The sequence below is a fragment of the Homo sapiens genome, chromosome 7 (assembly GCF_000001405.40).
Source record: "Homo sapiens chromosome 7, GRCh38.p14 Primary Assembly".
NCBI lineage: Eukaryota > Metazoa > Chordata > Mammalia > Primates > Hominidae > Homo > Homo sapiens.
Genome location: NC_000007.14, coordinates 50,292,751 through 50,312,302, shown reverse-complemented (window position 1 = coordinate 50,312,302; position 19,552 = coordinate 50,292,751). Strand labels below are relative to the sequence as shown.

The window sequence follows — 19,552 nt, the reverse complement described above, 5'->3', positions numbered from 1 at the left end:
TGCTGTTTATTGAGCCGCCATGGTAGAAGCATACACAGTCAAAATTGATAGAAGCTTTTACAGGCCCTCTTCTGATTTGGGCCATCGACATGAGCCACTTCCTAGGTAGCTTCCTCAAATATAAATGGCGTTTCACACTTCATCACTTAAGTTAAAAAAATCTAAGTTTAGAATCATTTTCTTCTGCCCTCTTACCGATTTCAGAGGACCTTCATGCATGGTCAGGAGCTGTGCAGCAATATGAAGTGCAATGAAAATAGAACCTACAGCTTTACAAAACACAGAAACTGCCTCTAAAAGAAGGGTCCACACAGACATGCCCCAGGTCATTATTTTTTTGGTAATTTACTATAATAAGATAAAGAGACAGAGGACCCCAGGAACTGCTGTGTTCCCATTATTTTAAACGTTTTTTTCTTCATTTTTTTTTAAAAAGAGAGATAAACACAAACTTATAACAGTAAGTTTTTCCCTCAGCAAGGCCATATGGTGTCACAAAGAATGCTTTATCTTGCCTTCTTAGCAGTTAAATTATCTTAACGTACAAGTAAATCATTTCAGGTGGACATTTTGAAACTCAAACTTAACACTGTACATAATAGAGAAATCCACTTGTATACCCGTAACATTTCAAACAATGCACCTGTAAAACTGAAGTTTCTGCAAAGCCATTTGACTTCTATTAAAATAAGTGCTTGTGTGAGTTTATTTGGCAAAAGCTATATTTTATTTAGTCCCAAAGAAGTAAAATTATTTAGATCTTCACAAGAACATCCCATTGTTTATGAACCCATACGTGTATATTTATTAAAAATAACCTGAAGTCATGATTGATTGATTGGCCCACTGAGGACACATTCCTAGGTACTATAAATTTTCCTCAACTTATTTAGATACAGTATCTACCATTAGCAGGTGGTAAGACAAGATCTACAAAATCTACATATAAATACAGAAAGAACATGTGTTCTAGAGTAAACACATTAGGGGATTCATTGTTGCACATATATCTATTTACCTCTTATTCCTTGCAATATAAAAGGCTGCTTTGGCCTGACCTATATACAATAATGGGTATTTAGTCTTTCCTCCAGAGAGGATGAAAAGGTGCAGACATCCTGATGGGTGTCTTCAAACTAAGGTAGGCCACTTGGTTTCCTACTAATTGGAAATTTTCCCCAAGGGACTGAATTCTGACCTCTGTTTTGTTTACGACACCCACAAAATTATCAGCTATCATCAAGATGAGATTTTTTTCATAATAACTATAAGAAATTAATCTATGTTGAACTATACCCACAGTATATGGAATTTGATTCAAAAATCAGGTTCCTTAAATTGTAGTTTGGTCTCTTAGTAGCTTTACTTTGAAAATTCACCTTGCTCATCACCCCACCTTCGAGGGGTTCCACTGAAGTCAAAATGAGCTGTGTCTCAGAAGGGCAAAGGGAAGAATAGAAGCATCAATGGCTTGGTAACAATTACTGCTACTGACAACAATCAAATAATGACAGAAAAGAACATCATTTAAGAATCTAACTTGGTGTTTTAGCTGGATCCTGTTAGCAAGAAAGTTCTAGATTCCTACTTTGTTCTGCAATAGGGAGCTCAGCGCTGGCTGTCCTGTAACCCGAATCTGGAAGCATTCTTAAGACACTCATGCCAAAACCATTCATCACATCGTAAGGTCCATGCGAAACGTGGGTATCAGGCCCCACCAGGATAGTTTAGACCCCATTTTGTAGTCCTTTATTTGTGGCCTATGATCTCTTCATGCAAACCCAGGGGGAGGGGGCTCATCAGTAAAACCTCAGAGAGCTTACAACTTCCTCATTTGTGGGGGTACAAAAAATGGGCATGTCTTTATTTATAACCTGACAGAAAATGCTCCTGTCCATAAGAGAGCGAAATGTGGGAAAATTCATTTTAAACACAGCAATCAGATTTTTCTGCAGCTCTTAAGTAAGTTGAAATTATTTATTTTTAATGTTTCACTTTACATGCTCCTTTTTAGCAAATTTCATTTCTTTAACAAAACATTGTCTGCTCTTAAAGTGAAAATTCTGTAAATTCAAGCAAACATACACAACCTCATACTAAAGCGGGAAAACACTCATACTGCAAAAGTACTCACAACTTCCTACCAACTTTTAAAATGATAATTAATTGCCTTATGTTTAACAACCTGAGATAATTAGCAGTATGGTTTTAATTTAATGAAATAGAATATACGATTTATCAATATGTTTTTGCAGTGAATCTCTTTGAATATCAGCTTAATTTTCTGCCCTACGCAAAACTCAGCACAAAGGAGGAGGAAAAGGTCACTTTTTCCGGTTAAAAGTGGGGCTCACACTAGGGGGTTGCTGGCTCTCTCTAGTTTCCATTAAAAGCACTGGAACACACTTCAGAGTGCCTCAGAAGTAAGCTTACAAAAGGTCAATTCCTCATTCTCATTTCTCCTAAAGACTCTAAATTAAACATTTTTCCCATTAGGTCTAGGGAAGTATCTTATGTGGAATTTTATTTGCTCTAGGTTTGCCAGTGAAAATCTGGTATAACAACAAAAATTTGTCAAAAACTGATAAATCAATATTCATAGTGGAACTCCTAGCTTCAGAACAGGACTCTAATCTAAACCACATTGTTCATTTTCAAATAGTTTCAAACTAACAGAAAATGCTTTAAAGGTATAGATTTTAGTGTGTGATCTCAAAAATGGAGCATAAAAATCTACTTCAATATGTGTAAGGCCATTCAAAAACACTTTACACAGTTCTTAGTGTTTTGGCAGTCTGTGCAAACCCCCCACCAATTATAGAAAGAAAGAGGGGAAGGAAGGGAAGGGAAGGACAGGAAAGGCAAGGCAAATGGAGGGAAGGGAATGACAGAGAAGACAAGGGAGGAAAAAACGAAGAAAGGAAGACCAGACAGACAAGACCACATTGGATCCCCTCTTTTTACTGCATTGCTCTCTCAACAAACCTAACCTCCTACCCATTAGAGTTAACTTTTGGTGTGCAATGGCGGGAAGAGAGTCAGATTTACTTTAGCAGTGAGCTGATTGCAGAAGAAAAATGAATCACTGCACACTCGAGTGAGAAAATATGAAGAAAGCACTTTTCCACTAATTAGGACCCATTTTCAGCCATTTGTTAAGCCGTGGCCCCGCGCCACGAGCTATCAGGAGGTGGAGCATGGGGCCATCCGAAAGCAGAGCGTTCAGACGGAGCATAATGATGCTCTCCATCACCCGAGACAGGTGGCCTGCACAGGGATATGGGGAGCTGCTCTGGGCTCAGGCCACCCACTGTGGAAACACCAGCAGGGAAGACGGAAGAACACAATGGCTATTCCAATCCATGCAAGCACACAAAGAAACCGTGTGGCACTCACCAACCAACCGAGGCCTCGCCAAGGCCAAGTGAGAGCTGCCTTTTCCACACAAATCCAGACTTTGAGGACCTAGGGCTGCTCGGAGTTCCCCTCAGACCCAGCCACCTGGGAGGGATCTTGGTGCCTGGCTACAGGGCCTCTGTGTCCTCTTCCTCCTCCAAAAGGTTCCTCTGCTGCCTTCACACTCCACCAGGGTGCAGAGAAAGGTGGAACCACTTGCCAAATATGCAAAAAAGGAGGGAAGACCGTTTTCTCTTAGGAAAACACAGACAGGAAGGGAGCCTGTGCTTCCTGTCCTAACCAAAACGAGTTCAGAAATTATGTGGACGTCTGATTTGTCAGGCTTGTGGTGGAAAAGGGTGCTCTTTTAGTCAACAGGAATTGTGAGTTCCCCAAAGGCAGAAATGGCCATGGGAGAAAAGAATTAAGGCCAGGCCTGTTAACAGGCAAGACAAATGGCCCCCACACCTGTGACCTAGGGTTTGCACCATTTTTAACAGTTTATTACCAGGTGGTTGGCTGAAGGCTCCACTGGCAACTACCTATTTATTATAGTCAAACATGAGAGGGAAAAACGTCAACTGAAACAATTTGGCAGTTGCCTGTAGATTAGGCCTCAGTTGCTCTTCCTCCAGGCCCTTCTCAGGAGTAACCACCAAGGAGACACCAAAATGGGCAGGCCCGCACTTCGCCACTTAAAAACCTTCTGCAAACCTTCTTTTGCTTGCTGTTTTATCTCACTTGTAATATATGGCACTTCATAAGGTTTCATAATGTCTTAAAAAATATTTGTTGGAATATTACCAAACATTTAAAAACTCAAACTAAAGCTACTAAAGTGACGACACTGAAACTTTAAGGACATAAACATATATTCCAGGAGATGTGGAAAGGTAACCTGAGATATGAAGTCATTTATTAAACTGCAAAGAAATACAAGAAAGCCATGGTCCACATGAAGACACCAGCATGAGTGTTCAGTCAGCACTACAGTAAAAACAGCTTTGTTACTGTCGATATCCTTTGGTTTTAGGTGCTCTGCGTCCCTAACAAAACCTCATTCCTATCTTGTTCCTCATCTGAATTTTAAGTGTGTGTGTGTGTGACAGTGTGTATAATGCTGATCCTCTGAAACTCTACGTTTCTAAGACCTAGATCAAAAATGTACATGTGCCCTTTTTGAGCAAAATAAAACTGATCTGTTTTCAAGACGTGAAATAGATTAATGTTTCTCTTCTTGTAAGCTTCAAAGGATGGGTCACTTGTTGCTTTTACATCTTGTGTTTTCTCCCATAAAATGGAATGATTATTCAGCACAAATATGAAATGGAATAGAGCTGAAGTCTCTGTAGTTATGAACATAGAGACACCAGAGAGAGAACAATGTTCACAGCCAGGACAGGAGCTGCAGCAACTCTGCCGCTAGAAGCAGGCGTCACAGTGCCCCCAGAGTGCTTGTCAGTCTTAGAAACAGAGGCATCGGAAGACAAGCGTTTTCAGAGAACGCAAAAAGGTCGTGGTTTACCTTCTGTAAGCTGGAGTGGAGCCACTTACATCAATCTCCCTTAGAATATGACAAGAACCAACATTTATTTCATAGTGAAATTATTTCACAAGTCCAAAGATTAGAGGAGGAAAAAAAAAATGCCACAAAACAGTGATATCCTTGATGAATTCTTCGTTAACCACAGTTACATTACATTAATACGTACAATTATGCAACACTCAAAAAACGTTATTTATGCCTAAAATTCACCATTATATAACATAGGGAAATCCATCTTGTTTTAGTAAAAGTTTAAAAATAAAGGGGGCCTTTAATACTCATTTCAGGTCTGTTTGATGTTAAAACTCTTCCACACTGCCCCATGCCTCTCACTCCACGCTGTGTGCATGCTGTGTGTGTGCACGCTCTGTGTGCATATGTGCATATGCACATGGAATTTATTTCATGTATCTGTTAATAAATGCATAATCTTGAAGTGTGTGTATAAGTACATTAATATATAGAGAGTTCTTTCCTATTTCAAAATTTTTGACATTTATATTGAAAATATGCTATATTAACCACGCATGAAACACACACATCCAAATCAAGAACAAAAAATGTATCCAAACCAAAGAACCACTGTTCTCAAACTCCAAGTCTCTAGTCAAACAAGGAAGACAGTGGCCTGCAGTACAACAGGGCTTTAGACCTCTTGGCTAATACATTCACTGCGATCTTAGTTTTTCGACAAAGGAAATGGCTACAAACGGCCACAGCTGATCTTCTCTTTAGGAGCCTGTGTAAAACTCTTCGAAAGGGTCAAACCTAACACATCCAGACTTTTATCTGCAGCCCTTGTGGTCTCCTGGAGACCCTGAGGGTGGGTGATTATTGCTATGATGTTTCTGCATTAGGGGGGTGTGTAGTTTTCCAAGAGGTACCACTCTAATTAGAACACTGATGAATTAAACAAGTACTGGAGAGTTTCTAAACTCCTTCCTTCAACTCTCACCGTGAAACAAAAGGGGAAGAAAACATGACCATTTAGTTCAATAAAATGTTCTGGTCACCAGCTCTGATTGACTGTGAGACTTAAGAGTCACGTTTTTTTTCATGTAAAAAATGTATGAAATATGTTCATGGTGAAATTGGAAATCAGATACATTCCATCAAGCAAGAATAGTGTAGTATTTTTAATGTGACATCATTATTTGTATGTGTACACATTATTTCTTTAACTTGTTCTGCATTTTACAAGATGCCAGCGTAAGAAGGTGAATCTTCTTGTCATGAATATTTGCCTCGTGTACATTTTAAGCCATAGCCCAAATGATCTGATTTGTCACGGAAATAATTCTGACACATTCTAATATAAATAATACTGAAATTGTTACTTTTTAAAATTCCATATAAAAGATGAGTACAATAAAACTCATTGAACAAACATCTTCAAACAAAGAAATAAACTCAAGAGGACCCAGGACATTTCTATGTGGGTCCCCCCCACCCCTCGACTCATAACCAAATTGAACCTGGCCTTAAAAGCATTTGAATGTCTATGAAAGTTTAAATATCATACGCAGTATTTTCAAATTCCATAAATTTTCCTCTTTTAACAGAAGTTGATGGGACTAGTAAGGAGACATTTCCTCAACACCATTTTGTCTGGAATTTTAAAACAAGGTATCTCAAAGCTGAAATATACTGCCTGCGGCGCAGTGGGAAATTGTGAGTGGGTAACCTAAGCAAAGCGCACCGCATTGAAATTCAGTCTGGGTGGGCTGCAGTCCCTAGAGAGAGGGAAGCTGCATTTGAAAGCTGTGCCTGGTCAGACCCTATGGAATCGCTACGGTTTTCGGTCATTAGATGCCTCCAAATTAGAAGGAAAAACAAGCCCTCACGAGGTTCCTTAGGCATCAGCAGCGATGCTTGACAAATATTTAAAATACATTTCAAATATAACCGCAAGTAACCTGATGCCTTAATATTACTAAGGGTTTTCCTGAGAAGGTTTGGTGACTTGAGCGTCAAACCTGCGGTCAGCAAAAGGACTAACTTTTCAAAGCCGGGATAATTCCTCTCTTGCAGAAATTAAGTTCAGACTCGATCTCATCATATTTATAGTATAAAAAGAAAGCTCCCGGCTCAAATATAAGGAAAACTCTTTACACACGACTTTATAAAGGCTGACTTCCGTGGGTATATGTAGGTCTACATAAATTTAAATATGGTTGGGAGCTAGAACTCCTCTCCTGGTGACAGCGGGGCTGCTCAGAAGTGTCCCATGTCGGCCTGGTCCTGCACCTGCTGGCACAGTGCAGAGCAACAGACGCTTGACAGAAGTGAACTCTCTCACTGTCCTCAGAAAAGAGAGGCGGACCTGAGCGACACCAGGGTCTACCAACCTTACCGCTTTTCTTTACTGTGTTTTTTTTTTTTTAAATTCACCAGTTACCCCAAGTTTTCCTATTGAAATTCAATTTGAAAACACTCACGTGGATTTGTGCGTCGCGCTTTGGGGCCAAGACTGATCCTCGGGTGCGAAGAGCAACCTCGGAGCCGGGGCTCCCTCTGCCCTGCCAGGCTTGCCCGCCTCGCCGCGGCCGAGCGTCCCGCCCAGGCTGGGATGCGCCGCGCGGGGACCCAGGGGGCTTGCCGCAGTCACCGCCCCGGGCGCGGGCCGCGCAGTCACTTGTTAGAGTGTCCTGCTAACTTGGCCGCGGAGCTCTTCCCAGCTTTCTTTCACAATGACTTCCTGAAGTTGCTCACTCGCATTGTTCCCCATTTCTCCGCCACACTCCCCGCCCCCAGCCGGCTCAGACCAGGCTTTCGCGCTCCCGGCCGACCGGCTGCCCCGCGCGCACAGCGCCGCCCGCGGGCCCCGTACCTGGCCCCCTCCGCGCCGGCCGCCCCCGCCGCGCCCTTGCGTTGCCACCAGCTGCCGCCCAGAGCGGCGGGTGGCCAGAGCGCGCGCCCTGCCACCCCGCAAACTTTGGGGTGACGCACGCTGGCGGTCCCTGCTCGACCTGCCCCGCAGCCGGCTCGGCCCCGCGCGCACCTCTCGGCCGCCTCCCGGATCGCTGCTCCGGTACAGGGAGCGGGGCGCGCAGAAGGGCGCAGAGCGGGACACGGAGAGGGTGCGTCGTCCCGTCCCCGCCCCGTCGCCGAGTCCCCCGGCTCGCGCGGCGCGCGTCTCAGCCGCAACTCCGGGCCAGAGGGGCCGCGCACGAAAACTTTGCAATCGCGCCGGGCTCCGGCTCAGCCCCCAAAGGCCGCCGGGGCGGCGGCGGGTGCGGGCCGTACCTGCTGGCGCCGCCGCCGGCTGCAGCCCGCTCGCCCGCGCCGGGCCCGCTCGGCGCGCCGCCGCCACCCCCGCGCGCACCGCGCCCGGGCCCTCCCCTCGCCGCCGCGCTTCCTCATTCCAGCGCAGCATCGCGCCGCGGCCCCGCACGGGATGCGGCGGCCGGCGCTGTGTCCGCGGGCCGGGCAGCCCGGCTCGGCCGCGGCGCTGCGGGACCCGCGCGTAACCCGTGGGGGCGCGGCGCGGGCGACACGTGCGGGCCGCCAGGAGGGGGAGGGGGACGCGCGCCGCCGGGCCCGCCACCCTGCACCCGGGGCCGCTGGTCGGTCGGGGCACCCTCACGCTCGCCCCGCTGGCGAGACTGGAGGGACTCGGGACATCGTAAAGCACTTTCCCCAGTGTCTGGGAGCGCCCGCTGTACGCTCAGCTTCACGTCCCTGGAACTGGGGCCCCTTGGCTCCCGGGTTCAGGCTCCGGCCCCAGGATGCGAGTGCCCACCCGAGGGGGTGGGAAAAGTTGATCCTCCGCAAGGGAGGGGAAGGTGCAATTCATTTTCCCAGACAACCAATGGAATACCTCTCGTCTCTCTTCCCTCCCACCTGCTCACGGCAGAAGTTAGGATGGCGCCTTCCATGTTGGCCTGGGTGCACACACAAGTGCGTGCGGAAGGGTGGCTGCAGGCGGAGGTGACAGCGAAGCAATCCCGCAGCCCGCTCGACGGCTCTTTGCGTCTCAGACCTCTCCCTGGCGTGTAAGACACCGTGTGTCTCCGTAAAACGGGAATGCCACATCTGACAGCGCACCCCTTCGCCCTACGGGGAGCCCCTCACTCTAATTAGCCGGGCTCCACCCGAGCAGGAGCCAGCAATGTGTTCAGCTTGAGCAGGAGAGAAAAAGTCATGAATTCCACAAATGCAGCCTGGGCTCCCGCCAGGCGCTAGGGGAGGGGACCCAGAGGAGTGAGATGCGCCTCCTGCCCTTCCAGACTTGTAGGAGCCACCAGGAAGGCACAGAATAAAAATCCCGGGCACCCCTGTGAGGAGGAGCGCCCTGTGAAGAGGGCCGAGAACGTGCTCCTGCTTGGGCGCGGTGGTTCGGGAAGGCGTGAAGACCCATAGGGAGAGCGATGAAAGACCAAGGGAGCCTCCTCAGGGTAGGACATGCAGGCGAAGAAGGCACAGGCCTTCCGGGTGGAGGACACAGCCGGGCAAGGGAATAAGCAGGAAATGTCCCTTCAGGGCAGTTGAGTGTGGCTGGAGACCATCGCTGCCGGGGAAGGTCTTGGCCTGGCCCAGGAGGCCTCCAAGTCGGGGGCCAGGGCACACCAGAGACAGGATCTGCCTCTGCTGCCTCTGGGAGAAGGCCCTTTACCCGTGAATCACAAACAGCGTCTATCCACATTCTCCCTGAGCGCATATGCAGCTCTTACTACAGTACTCAGTGTGTCCTGAAGGGCATTCCGCTGGGCAAGTCTGAGCCAGTTAACTCACTGCTACAGCCCAGAGAAGGGGAAGGTAGTGAAAGGTCCATTGATTTACCTTCTAGTCCTCTCCTCCACTGCGTGACCTTGGGCAGGTTATCCAAACTCCTGAGCATCATCTTCCTTGTCTATAAAAAGAATACATGCCACCAATCCTAAAGACTCCTTACCTGGATTAAATGAGGCAATAAACATAAGGTACAAGGCCCAGAGGGAGGCCAACAATGTTGTAAAGGGGACACGGGACACCTCTAGTTCTTGGATGCAGAAGTACCTTTAGCCGCTGGTACGTCTCTCTAAACCTGTGCCTTGGTCTTCAGGAGTGGACCAGTGGACCGAAACATAGGCATCTCACCAAGGTGTAGCCCACTGAGGCAGGAGCATGTGGGGCTAAGAGCCCAGATAGTTTGGGCTTATGAATCTGACTGAGGTCCTTAATCTCTCAAAGCCTGAATTTCCCCATCTGTAAATTGGTGGTGATAATATAACCCTCCTGGTGGGGTTGTTTGTGGGTTAAGGAGATCACATATGGAAGACCTTGCCACATGCCTGACAGAGAGGAGTACTTTCCAAGTAAGAACAGTTATTCCCTGCTAGCCCAACCAATGTCCCAATGAGATGAGGAGTGCACTGTGAAGAGTCAGGCTCCTTGGCTGGGTGCAGTGACTCACACCTGAGTTTGGAGCCCAAGGTGGGAAGATCACTTCAAGCCAAGAGTTCCAGACCAGCCTGGGCAACAAAGCAAGACCCTGTTTGTACAAAAAAATTTTAAACTTTAAAAATCAAACCCCATTTGTATTAAAAATTTAAAAATTAGGTGTTATGGTATGCACCTGCAGTCCCAACAACCTACTTAGGAGGCTGAGGCAGGAGGATCCCTTGAGCCCAGAAGTTTGAGGCTGCAGTGAGCCATGATTGACACCACTGCACTCCAGCTTGGGCGACACAGCAAGACCCTGTCACAAAACAAAACAAAACAGCAGTCAGGCTGCAGGTACCATGCCTTACCCTTGCCCCCAACCGGGTGGAGTTGAAGGAAGTCAAGCTTATATTATTATAACCTGGGGTCTGTGGATAGACTCAGAGGGACCAGAGAGGTGATATAAATCAAATGTTCAAACCCTTAGGGACAACAGTAAAATGCACAATGGATGGGAAAACATATAGGGAGAAATTGGAACATGTAAAACTGTTTTTTTTCATATTATGTCTAAAGTCATTTTATTTTATTTACATATTAATTCATATATTGCCCTCTTCATAATGTTAAAGTATTAAATAAAACACTTTAATTTATTCAGGCAATAATTGCTAAATCACCAATTTTTCTTCTTATGAGGCTGTATTATCGAAAGAATAGAGACCACCTATAGGATTAATCAAAGGCTACTTATTCAGAGCTCACTATGGAAAGAGAGGCAGCTAGGCACTTTTGTCCAGGTAGAGCCTGGATGGGATTTTCAAAAGAGAGTGAGTTTTTTACTTTCAAAGGAAAGTAAAAGGATGATTGAGGTGATACGATATGGTTAATAGTTTTGTTTCTTAGTAACTGTGTTTGGCAAGTTGTTTAAAGCCTGAGCTTCAGTTTCTCATCCGCAGAGCACATCTACTTCACAATGGTCTTGATAGAATTACGTGAAATTCAATGAAATAATCTATGGAAGTTATCATAATTGTATTTTTCTTCAATAAAAAAAGATCTGTTAACAGCAATGAAAAGTGCATGTCTCCTCTGATGGTTGGAAAACAGCAAGAATATTTTTAAATAACAGCAAAAGGTTTTTTTTGCTAAAAAATAAAATTTTATTTTATTTATATACCCAGGACTTGGATGAAACTGTTGCAACAAAGACACTGTTTCTTTGGTTTCTTTTTCCCAGTTTTCATGACTTCCAGCTTCTGCCTCTGCTGTTTTTGAAAAGTAATGATCACTGGCCTGGTGAGAGGTCCTCGATCCTTTTTCTTGGGCTCCCTCGTTGGTTTGGCTATTTCTAAGCATAGTCCACTAGCTCCCGCCTGCTGCTGGGGGTGAAGGAGCAGGATGCAGAGGAGAGGCAGGGGGCTGGTGCAGAGCTAGGACTGTCCTGCTGGCAGTGCCTGGGTAGGAAGCACCTGGTGAACCTGGCAAGATACTCCTCTGGGTGCTTGGTTTCCTGAAACATCTGTAAGGCCCTGTCTTGGCACCTCAGTGTCTCCTGGTTCTGCAGGAACCACAGAAATCCTTTAGCACTACTGACCATTCACATCTCTGCCTGTAGGTTTCGAATCAGGGATGGGCTGCAGCTGACATATGAATTCTTCCCACTTCCTGATAATACTTTCACTTTATTCCCTTTGAAATTTGTAAGAGAAATACACTTAGGTTCTCAAAAGCAACAAATTTCTATCAATATCATTTGGTTATAAGAGACTAAAAATCACACTGAGTCAGATATAGTGATTTGGAGGAGATAGATAGGTTTACACAAAAAATCTTTCTGATGAAAAGTTTCTGAAGATGTTTTTGATGAGTAATAAAAAATAATATATTAATCTGACCTGAACAGATCAGAACAAAGAAGAACAGAGCTGTGTGTCACTCCAGTTGATTCTTTGAATAGGAACAGGATTGGAGCAGGATTTCCGGAAGCATAAACACTCTGGTGGCATGTATTCATTTATTTATTCAGAAAGCCTGTATTTATTGAGAGTGTACCATTGCAGGTGGCTCTTGAGATGCAGGTAGTCACAAGAAAGCAGAAAGGAAGATCTGTCCCTTAAGGAGCTCACAATCTAGTAAAGTCGGTGGACAATTAATAGTTTCATTCTGATGCAAAATGTGTCATAATAAATTCTGACATGAGCCTTATGGAACACAAAGGATAGCACTAAAGAGTTGCCAGAACTGGGGGAGGCTTCATGGACAAAAGGAGGGAGGTGGTGAGGAGAGATCACACAGGAGGTCTGAGCAAATGCTTTTCTGCTCCACACTTGGCTGGCAGGGGAGCTTAGAAACATCCGTCTCAAAAGAGAGAATTAACTCAAGATTAATAGTAATATTGTAATTATCACCCCACCCTGAGCCCAGCTCTGTGACAGGCATGCAGGCATTATCTCCCATCTAACGATGCAGCAAAGCTAGCACTGTGGTCCCCATTTCACATGAGTACACTGAAGCTCAGGGAAGGGGACTCGCTGGGGGTTGATGGAAAGCCCAGAACCTGGCTGTGAAATGACAGACTCTGGGGCCAAACTATTGGAGTTAGTTCTGCAAGTTACTAGACTTCTCCATGCCTCAGTTTCCTCTTCTGTAAAATGGGAACATTGCCATAGCACAAACATCCTCGGAAATGTTTGAGGTCTCAATGAGTTAGTGCACATTAAGGACATTTTGATGGCTCCTTGGCAGATATCAAGCACTGGGTAAGTGTTCGGCACTTTGAAGCATTCAGTTTTTATGTGACCAGGCTGGGATACAAATCTTGGCCAGTTATAATATTTCAGCCATGCGTCTGCCCTCTCTTTTCAAATTACCTTGCGAATCATGCTGGCTCCTCCTCTGGCTCCACACGTATCCTCTTTCTTCCTGCTTATGCCACATTTCCCAACACAGAAATGAGATCTCTCCAAGAACTGATTTCTGTAAGACGGGAATTCCCAACCTCAGGGCCACTGACCAGTATAGGGAGGGTGAGCAAGCAAAGTGTCATCTGTATTTATAGCCACTCCCCATCACTCACATTACCTCCTGAGCCCCACCTCCCATCAGATCAATGGTGGCATTAGATTCTCTTAGGATTGCAAATCCTGCTGTGAACTGTACATGTGAGGGATCTAGGTTGCATGATCCTTATGAGAATCTAATGGCTGATGATCTGTCACTGTCTCCCATCACCCCCAGATGGGACCATCTAGTTACAGGAAAACAAGCTCAGGGCTCCCACTGATTCTACATTATGGTGAGTTGTTATTTCATTATATGTTACAATGTAATAGTAATAATAGAGCTCAAGTGCACAATAAATGTAATGCTCTTGACTCATCCCCAAACCATCCCCTCCTGACCTCTGTGGAAAAATTATCTTCAATGAAACCAGTTCCTGGCACTAAAAAGGTTGGGGACTGCTGTTTTAAGACACCTTTCTCCAATTTGTGGGAAGCGTTTTCCTTCACTTCTCTTTAAATTTTTTATTTCCCCTAAGGCCGAATTGTCAGTCTTAGAAGCAACAGTCTTGGTAGAGAGGTCAGATGGAATGGACCTGTCCAGGAAAGAGTAAGATATGTGAACAGCCTTTCCAGCCTATCAAGTAGGACTGAAATTTAGTCTAGTTATTTTTGAATTATGATAGCAACTCTCTTTTCTTTTCTTTATTTTTATTTATTTATTTTTTTGAGACAGGGTCTCACTCCGTCACTCAGGCTGGAGTGCAGTGGCACGATCTTGGCTCATTGCAGCCTCCACCTCCTGGGCTCAAGGGATCCTTCCACCTTAGCTTCCCAAGTAACTGGGACCACAGGTGCATGGCGAGGGCACTGCGTGAACTCAGCTGAGTTACGTCACCTCTCTCAGGATCACACTGTCATTTCTGCAACAGGGAAAATGAATCCTGCTTCATGGAGTTGTGGTTTGGATTAAACAAAAGCATGAACATAAGTCTTGAATTGTAATACCTAGTAATCAATGTGAGTTAGCCCTTCTCCCTTTCCCCTGTTTATGGGTGGCTGTAAGATTTCTCAGAAAGTGCTATCTAACAAGTCAAAAGTAGGCAGAGCTTCTGATTCCCAGGAATGTGTCTCCAGATTCTCAGTTGGGACTAACCTTGACTAAGTTAAAAGTGGATTTTTTTTTTAATCTAAGAAGAGCTGGAAAGAATGATCTCAATGGATGGAGCAAAGTCCATCTGGTCCCAAAGGTAGTAAGTCAGCATTTATCTAGCACTTTAAAATTTACCAAAAAATGCACGAACATTTTATTGAACCCCGATATCAGTGAGGTAGATCTTCAGGACACCCCACTCGCCATGCTTTTCTCTTGTGCTATTCATTGGCTGTTTTCTCCCCTCTTTCCTAAAATGCTGCAGCTCTCCAGACATGTCTCCCTCCGCAGTCAGTTCCTTGAAGGCCTCTCCAGAAGCAGTTTGCAATGTCATCTCTGTACCCTTACTCCAAAAATTAATATCTGCTCTTCAGACCTCCTTTTGAACTCTCCCACCTCCTTAACACCTTTACTTGGAGGCTTAATAGGCAACTTATATTTACTGTCTCCCAGCTGAATCCCTGATCTTCCTCTCTTACTTGCTTCACTGAGACCCCTTCATCTCATTGAATACCAGCTGGCAATTGCTGAGGCCAAAACCTTGGAGTCATTCTTGATGCCTCTCTCTCTCACTTACCATCCAGTCCATTGGGGAATCCCACTAGCTCTGCAGGTATCAGGTGTCCATGGTCGGACCTCCTCTCCCTCCATTGCAGACAGGCTGGTCACCTCTCATCTGCAAATAGCAGTGTCCTCCTCAGGGGTCTCTCTACTTCCACCCCTGCCCCTCACAGAAGCCAGAGAGAGCTTGATGAAGAGCAGAGTCAGATCGGGGTGCTTCTGTGTTGAATGCAGGCCAGACTCCACTCTCCCACTTACTTGCCTGTCTCTGGCCACTTGGCCCTACCTTATAGTCCTCAAGTGCTCCAGACCAGCTCACTGCCTTTCACTTACTGCTGTCTCCTAGAAGGTTCTCCCCTGGATTTCTGCCTGCCCACCCCCCTTACTGGCTTCAGGTGTTTGGTCCATTATCATTGTGGTTGAGTTGTCATTGTCTGTTCTCCATGAAAGGGAACGACCTTGACCCACCCGAGCGTTAGCTTTTCTCCTGCCTTCTCTCTGGTTTTCATTGGTAACATTTGTTGTTTGCTCTCATTGAAAGGAGAGATTTGGTTTTTTTTCTATTTTGTTTCCTCACAGTTCCTAGAACAGTGAGCAGATATTCAGCAGATAGTTCCATTTCATGGTGCTACTTTTGAAGGGTTTATCTTACTTACAGGAAAAATATTTTTGTTTAAGTAACATGTCAAGGAGTTGGCACATTTGTTTTCCAATATGCAGAGGGACTGTGTTTTCCTCTCCTGACAGCTGAAAGACCCCCATCCCTCCCTATGCTTCTGTCCTGTCTGGGGCTCTGCGATCATGCACTAGAAGTGTTGCTTCTTCACCTATTTAATGCTGTCTTAGCAGTAAAGGCTTCAACACAGAATATTCCAAATTTCCTTCCTTCAACTAAAAGTTGACAATTTATTTCACACTTTCCTTGTATGTGCATTATTCTGCTCATTTTTAAGCCATTTTTCAAAAAGGAAGCAGAGAATACTTTTAAAATACAACACTGCAATACCATAATGAATTTTCCCTAATCCTGTTCTGGTTGTATCAGGCAATTATCCTAAGTGAGTTGATACCTCTTTATTTCTGTAGGATAAGAAGACAGATTATAATTTAGTAATGCCAGGAGCAGGACTTTCTCTAAATTTGTGATTTAGAAATAATTTAAAGATATAATGCATTCTGTAGCTACACACAGCCCAGTACAATGTATTCTTGTAATATTTACTCATAATATCTTATTACTTGCAGATATGTTTTTCTAATGAAGAAAAAGAATTCATTTTCTGTGATATGCAGTCTGAAACTGGCAACTTTATTTCCACTTCAGAGCTCAAATTCACAATTTTCTGTAGCTTAAAAAGTGTTCTGCAATTAAACTGAAAGATTGACTTCTCATTATAATATCCCTTTATTTTCTATGATTATAGCTCATAAACATTTTCAGCCAAGCCGGTTTGTTTCCAACAAGTTGTATTGAATAACCCTGCATTTTGGGAGAAGGAATAATGTTGTCTTGATTTATAGATGGTAAACAAAGGCTAATTTTGAAAAGAGAATATGCAGGATGAAGATCCAATTCTTTGTACAAATAGATATACAGGATGTATATATGTTTGTAAGACTGTTGACTATAGTTAGGTACACATTCCATGGCCAATCAAAAGATGATTAAGCCGAGGGACTAAACTGAGGGTAGAACCATGGGATTTGGCTCCAATGGCTAAAGTGTAGAGCAGGAGATGCATTTGTTTATTGATCCTTTGAAGGTCAGAACCTGTATGCTACTTTAATTATCTTACTCTTAGGTTATTTATTATTTGTGAATCAAAAGTCAGTTCATCCTCCTCGTACTCCTCCAGCCTTTGAAGAGCCCTTTGCTCACTTCAGAGGGCGGCTTTTGGCCCTCTGGATTCAAAGGCCATTAAGCCCATAAGACACAGAGTGTTGCACCAAATGATTGATGTCCTTTGAGCCGGACTATCTGATATAGCAGAGTTCTCAGAGCAAATCCAAATGCAGCGGTCGATAATCATACACTTAGCAGTTGCCCCTCCACTACAACACTGTGCTTCAATAAGCACCACCAAAATGCTCTGGACCCATCTCTCCCAGTACATATTTCTTTTGCATTCCTGGAGCTCCTGTTGATTTCAGTGAAAGCTCCCAGCACCTCAGGTAGCAGTGTGGCAATATGTGCAGTACTCAATAATTTATATTTGCATAGCTTTTGAGCTCATCAGCAAAAAGTGCTTGCCAATCTTCTCCTCCCCAGGAAGTTGGACCACATTATTATTCTTATTTTATGGATGAGGAAACTGAGGTAAAGGAGTCCCCCAAGGTGAGGAGAGTTATTTTTAATTTTTTTAAGAAAGAAATACAGCTGCTTCTTGATGACCCAAAAAACTGTTTGACATGTGAGCTTCTAACAGGTGGCATTGAGCATTTTGACTACTCAGTAGAAAGGGCATTTTATAGAGACATTGTTGCTGGTAGAAAATACCACCACTCCACTGTGACAATTCTGTTTTATGAGGTAAATTTTTTTTTTAAGTTAAGGCTTGGAAAACTTATTGACGTAGCAAGGCAAATAGGACCAATTTCTTGCTCTGCTCCACCTTGATCAAGTTAGATAAAGTGCCCCATGGTCATGGCCCATGGAGTCGCCTTGACTTGGCCTCTGTAACTTGGGGTGGGAACCAATAATACCTGTAGAAGGATGTTCTGCATGCCTCACTTCTTGGCTTCTTTCAGGATGGGTTTGCACTAGAATCATTTCCCAGGTATAATAAATTTAGGAGCCTCCCACAGTGGAACTGACAGCAAAGGCAAAAACTGTCAACCCCCCTCCCCCCGTGATGGAAAACTTCTCAAGGTTTTCCCAGCAGTGCATTAGGCAGCTCCGTAAGAACCCACTGTTGTGCGCGTTTTGAGACTTCACGTCTTCCATTAACCAATTCTAAGACAGAAGACCAGTGTCTTCATTTCCCATGTTGTTGAAGTACTTTACATAGACTTTAACCCAGTTGCTAAATTGCTTGAATTTGTTAAATGTACAAAAGGGCCTACTCCCCGTTGATGGAGTGAAAGTAGATGTTTGATTAAGTAGATAGCTAGATGTGCTTTTTTCCCCCCATCTGGATGTGTTAAGGGGGTATGTTTGAAACTTAGCACTCAGTTCATGCCTTTCAGAAGGGGAGGGAAGAGGGTATTTAACAAGGTTAATAATGACAGAAAGAGGAATTGACACCACAAAAGAAAAAGAATCATTCTAGCATTTCGTGACAGTTCAAAGACAGATGTCGTTGGCTAAGTGAGAATCTCGTAGACATGGGGGTAATATACACCTTATATGCATATGGATTAGTGAAAGCAGACTGTCAAGTCGGTGAGTGTAAGATTGTCAAATATGAGACATAACTGCAGAAAACCTGGAGAACTACTTACTATTTATTTCTTCACTTAAGGACCCAATCCTGTTGTCTTTTTACAGACAAAAGACCAACTACTTTAAGGTCTGAGGCCGGTCAAGGGTAAGATGGGACTGAAACTTTGTCCTGGGGCTTCCTGTGAGCACCAGAGCTCATCATCTGTTCTCCTTTGAAGTCTATTTTTCTTCTTAGTCCCAGGCTCACTATTCCCTTTTGTTTAGTAGACTTTAGTTTATCCCACAGGGCCATACTAAATTCCATTTCCCTGATGTCCATCATGAGGGATTCTAGAATTGCGACGAATGAGATCCCAGATTGAGAAAGTTATGTTCCATATCCTTTGGAGTCAATTTGATTATGACAGTTAGTCCCACCGAGGTTGTTTGAGGCTCTGCTGTAACACATGATGCTTTGGAGAGTCAACACTGGCCTTGTGTGCTTGAGTAGAAAGCACAGTAGCCAGAGAGTGTTACCAGAGATGGTTTGGTTTGGTTTGGTGGATGGAAGATTCAGGAGACCTGGTTTGGGTCATGATTCTCTCTCCAATCCTGGGCAGGTCATTCAGTTCACCTTCCTAAGCTTTGGTTTCTTTGTTCATTAGATGATAGAGGTTGACAAGATGATCTCTATGAAGCCCTCTAACTGATACTCCATGACTTCAGCTTGGCCTGGGTAACATATATCTGGGAGGCTGGTATGGAACTGAGAACAGCTTTAGGGAAAAGCTTCAAAAGTTCTTGCCCCATCATCTCTAAGTGGACCTGACCTCCCTGGCTTATATGCCATACCATTCCAGAAGGACTCAAGCACTGAGAGCTAACTGTGCTAAAACCAGCTGGGGCTTATCACACCCTCAGATATGCACAAACACAATCACCAGCTCCATCACCTGCTAACCTATAGTGACTAACCCTCTCTGGTCAAACTTGGATGGTTTGACTTCAGGACTGTGTGGGTAGGAGTGAAGAAGTCACAAATTCTCCTAACCTGAAAAAGAAATAAAACAGAAGCATCCTAGGGATAAAGATCCCTCACTGACAAGTTTTATGTGTTTTTTTGTTTTTGTTTGTTTGTTTTTTGTTTTTGTTTTTTTTTTTTTTTTTTT

The 19,552-nt window shown here is 44.3% G+C and overlaps 1 protein-coding gene across 48 annotated transcripts in view, besides 4 other annotated features; it reads right to left on the bottom strand.

The window, feature by feature from the left end:
- Positions 1 to 8,848, bottom strand: part of IKZF1 (IKAROS family zinc finger 1) — a 101,647-nt gene extending 92,799 nt beyond the window's left edge. For 14 of the 48 annotated variants that reach the window (XM_011515058.3, XM_011515059.4, XM_011515067.4 and 11 more), the window contains exon 1: positions 8,763 to 8,848. In XM_011515058.3, coding sequence (XP_011513360.1) covers positions 8,763 to 8,820 — 58 coding nt within the window. In that variant the 5' untranslated portion in view covers positions 8,821 to 8,848. Of the gene's footprint in view, positions 1 to 3,396; positions 3,604 to 7,380; positions 7,588 to 7,772; positions 8,240 to 8,762 lie in introns of those variants that run through there. The other 34 variants (XM_011515065.3, XM_047419724.1, XM_047419730.1 and 31 more) reach the window with 5 other exon arrangements.
- Positions 20 to 169: an enhancer, noted in NCBI's record as "active region_25997". NCBI's record gives its function as "activates an Ori minimal core promoter by ATAC-STARR-seq in GM12878 lymphoblastoid cells {active_cell/tissue: GM12878}" and the evidence as "EXISTENCE:reporter gene assay evidence [ECO:0000049][PMID:35858748]".
- Positions 2,944 to 3,043: a silencer, noted in NCBI's record as "silent region_18182". NCBI's record gives its function as "represses an Ori minimal core promoter by ATAC-STARR-seq in GM12878 lymphoblastoid cells {active_cell/tissue: GM12878}" and the evidence as "EXISTENCE:reporter gene assay evidence [ECO:0000049][PMID:35858748]".
- Positions 7,475 to 8,274: a silencer, noted in NCBI's record as "silent region_18181". NCBI's record gives its function as "represses an Ori minimal core promoter by ATAC-STARR-seq in GM12878 lymphoblastoid cells {active_cell/tissue: GM12878}" and the evidence as "EXISTENCE:reporter gene assay evidence [ECO:0000049][PMID:35858748]".
- Positions 9,129 to 9,630: an enhancer, noted in NCBI's record as "H3K4me1 hESC enhancer chr7:50342269-50342770 (GRCh37/hg19 assembly coordinates)". NCBI's record gives its function as "activates a minimal SCP1, AML or CMV promoter by ChIP-STARR-seq in primed H9 embryonic stem cells {active_cell/tissue: H9 hESC(primed)}" and the evidence as "EXISTENCE:reporter gene assay evidence [ECO:0000049][PMID:30033119]".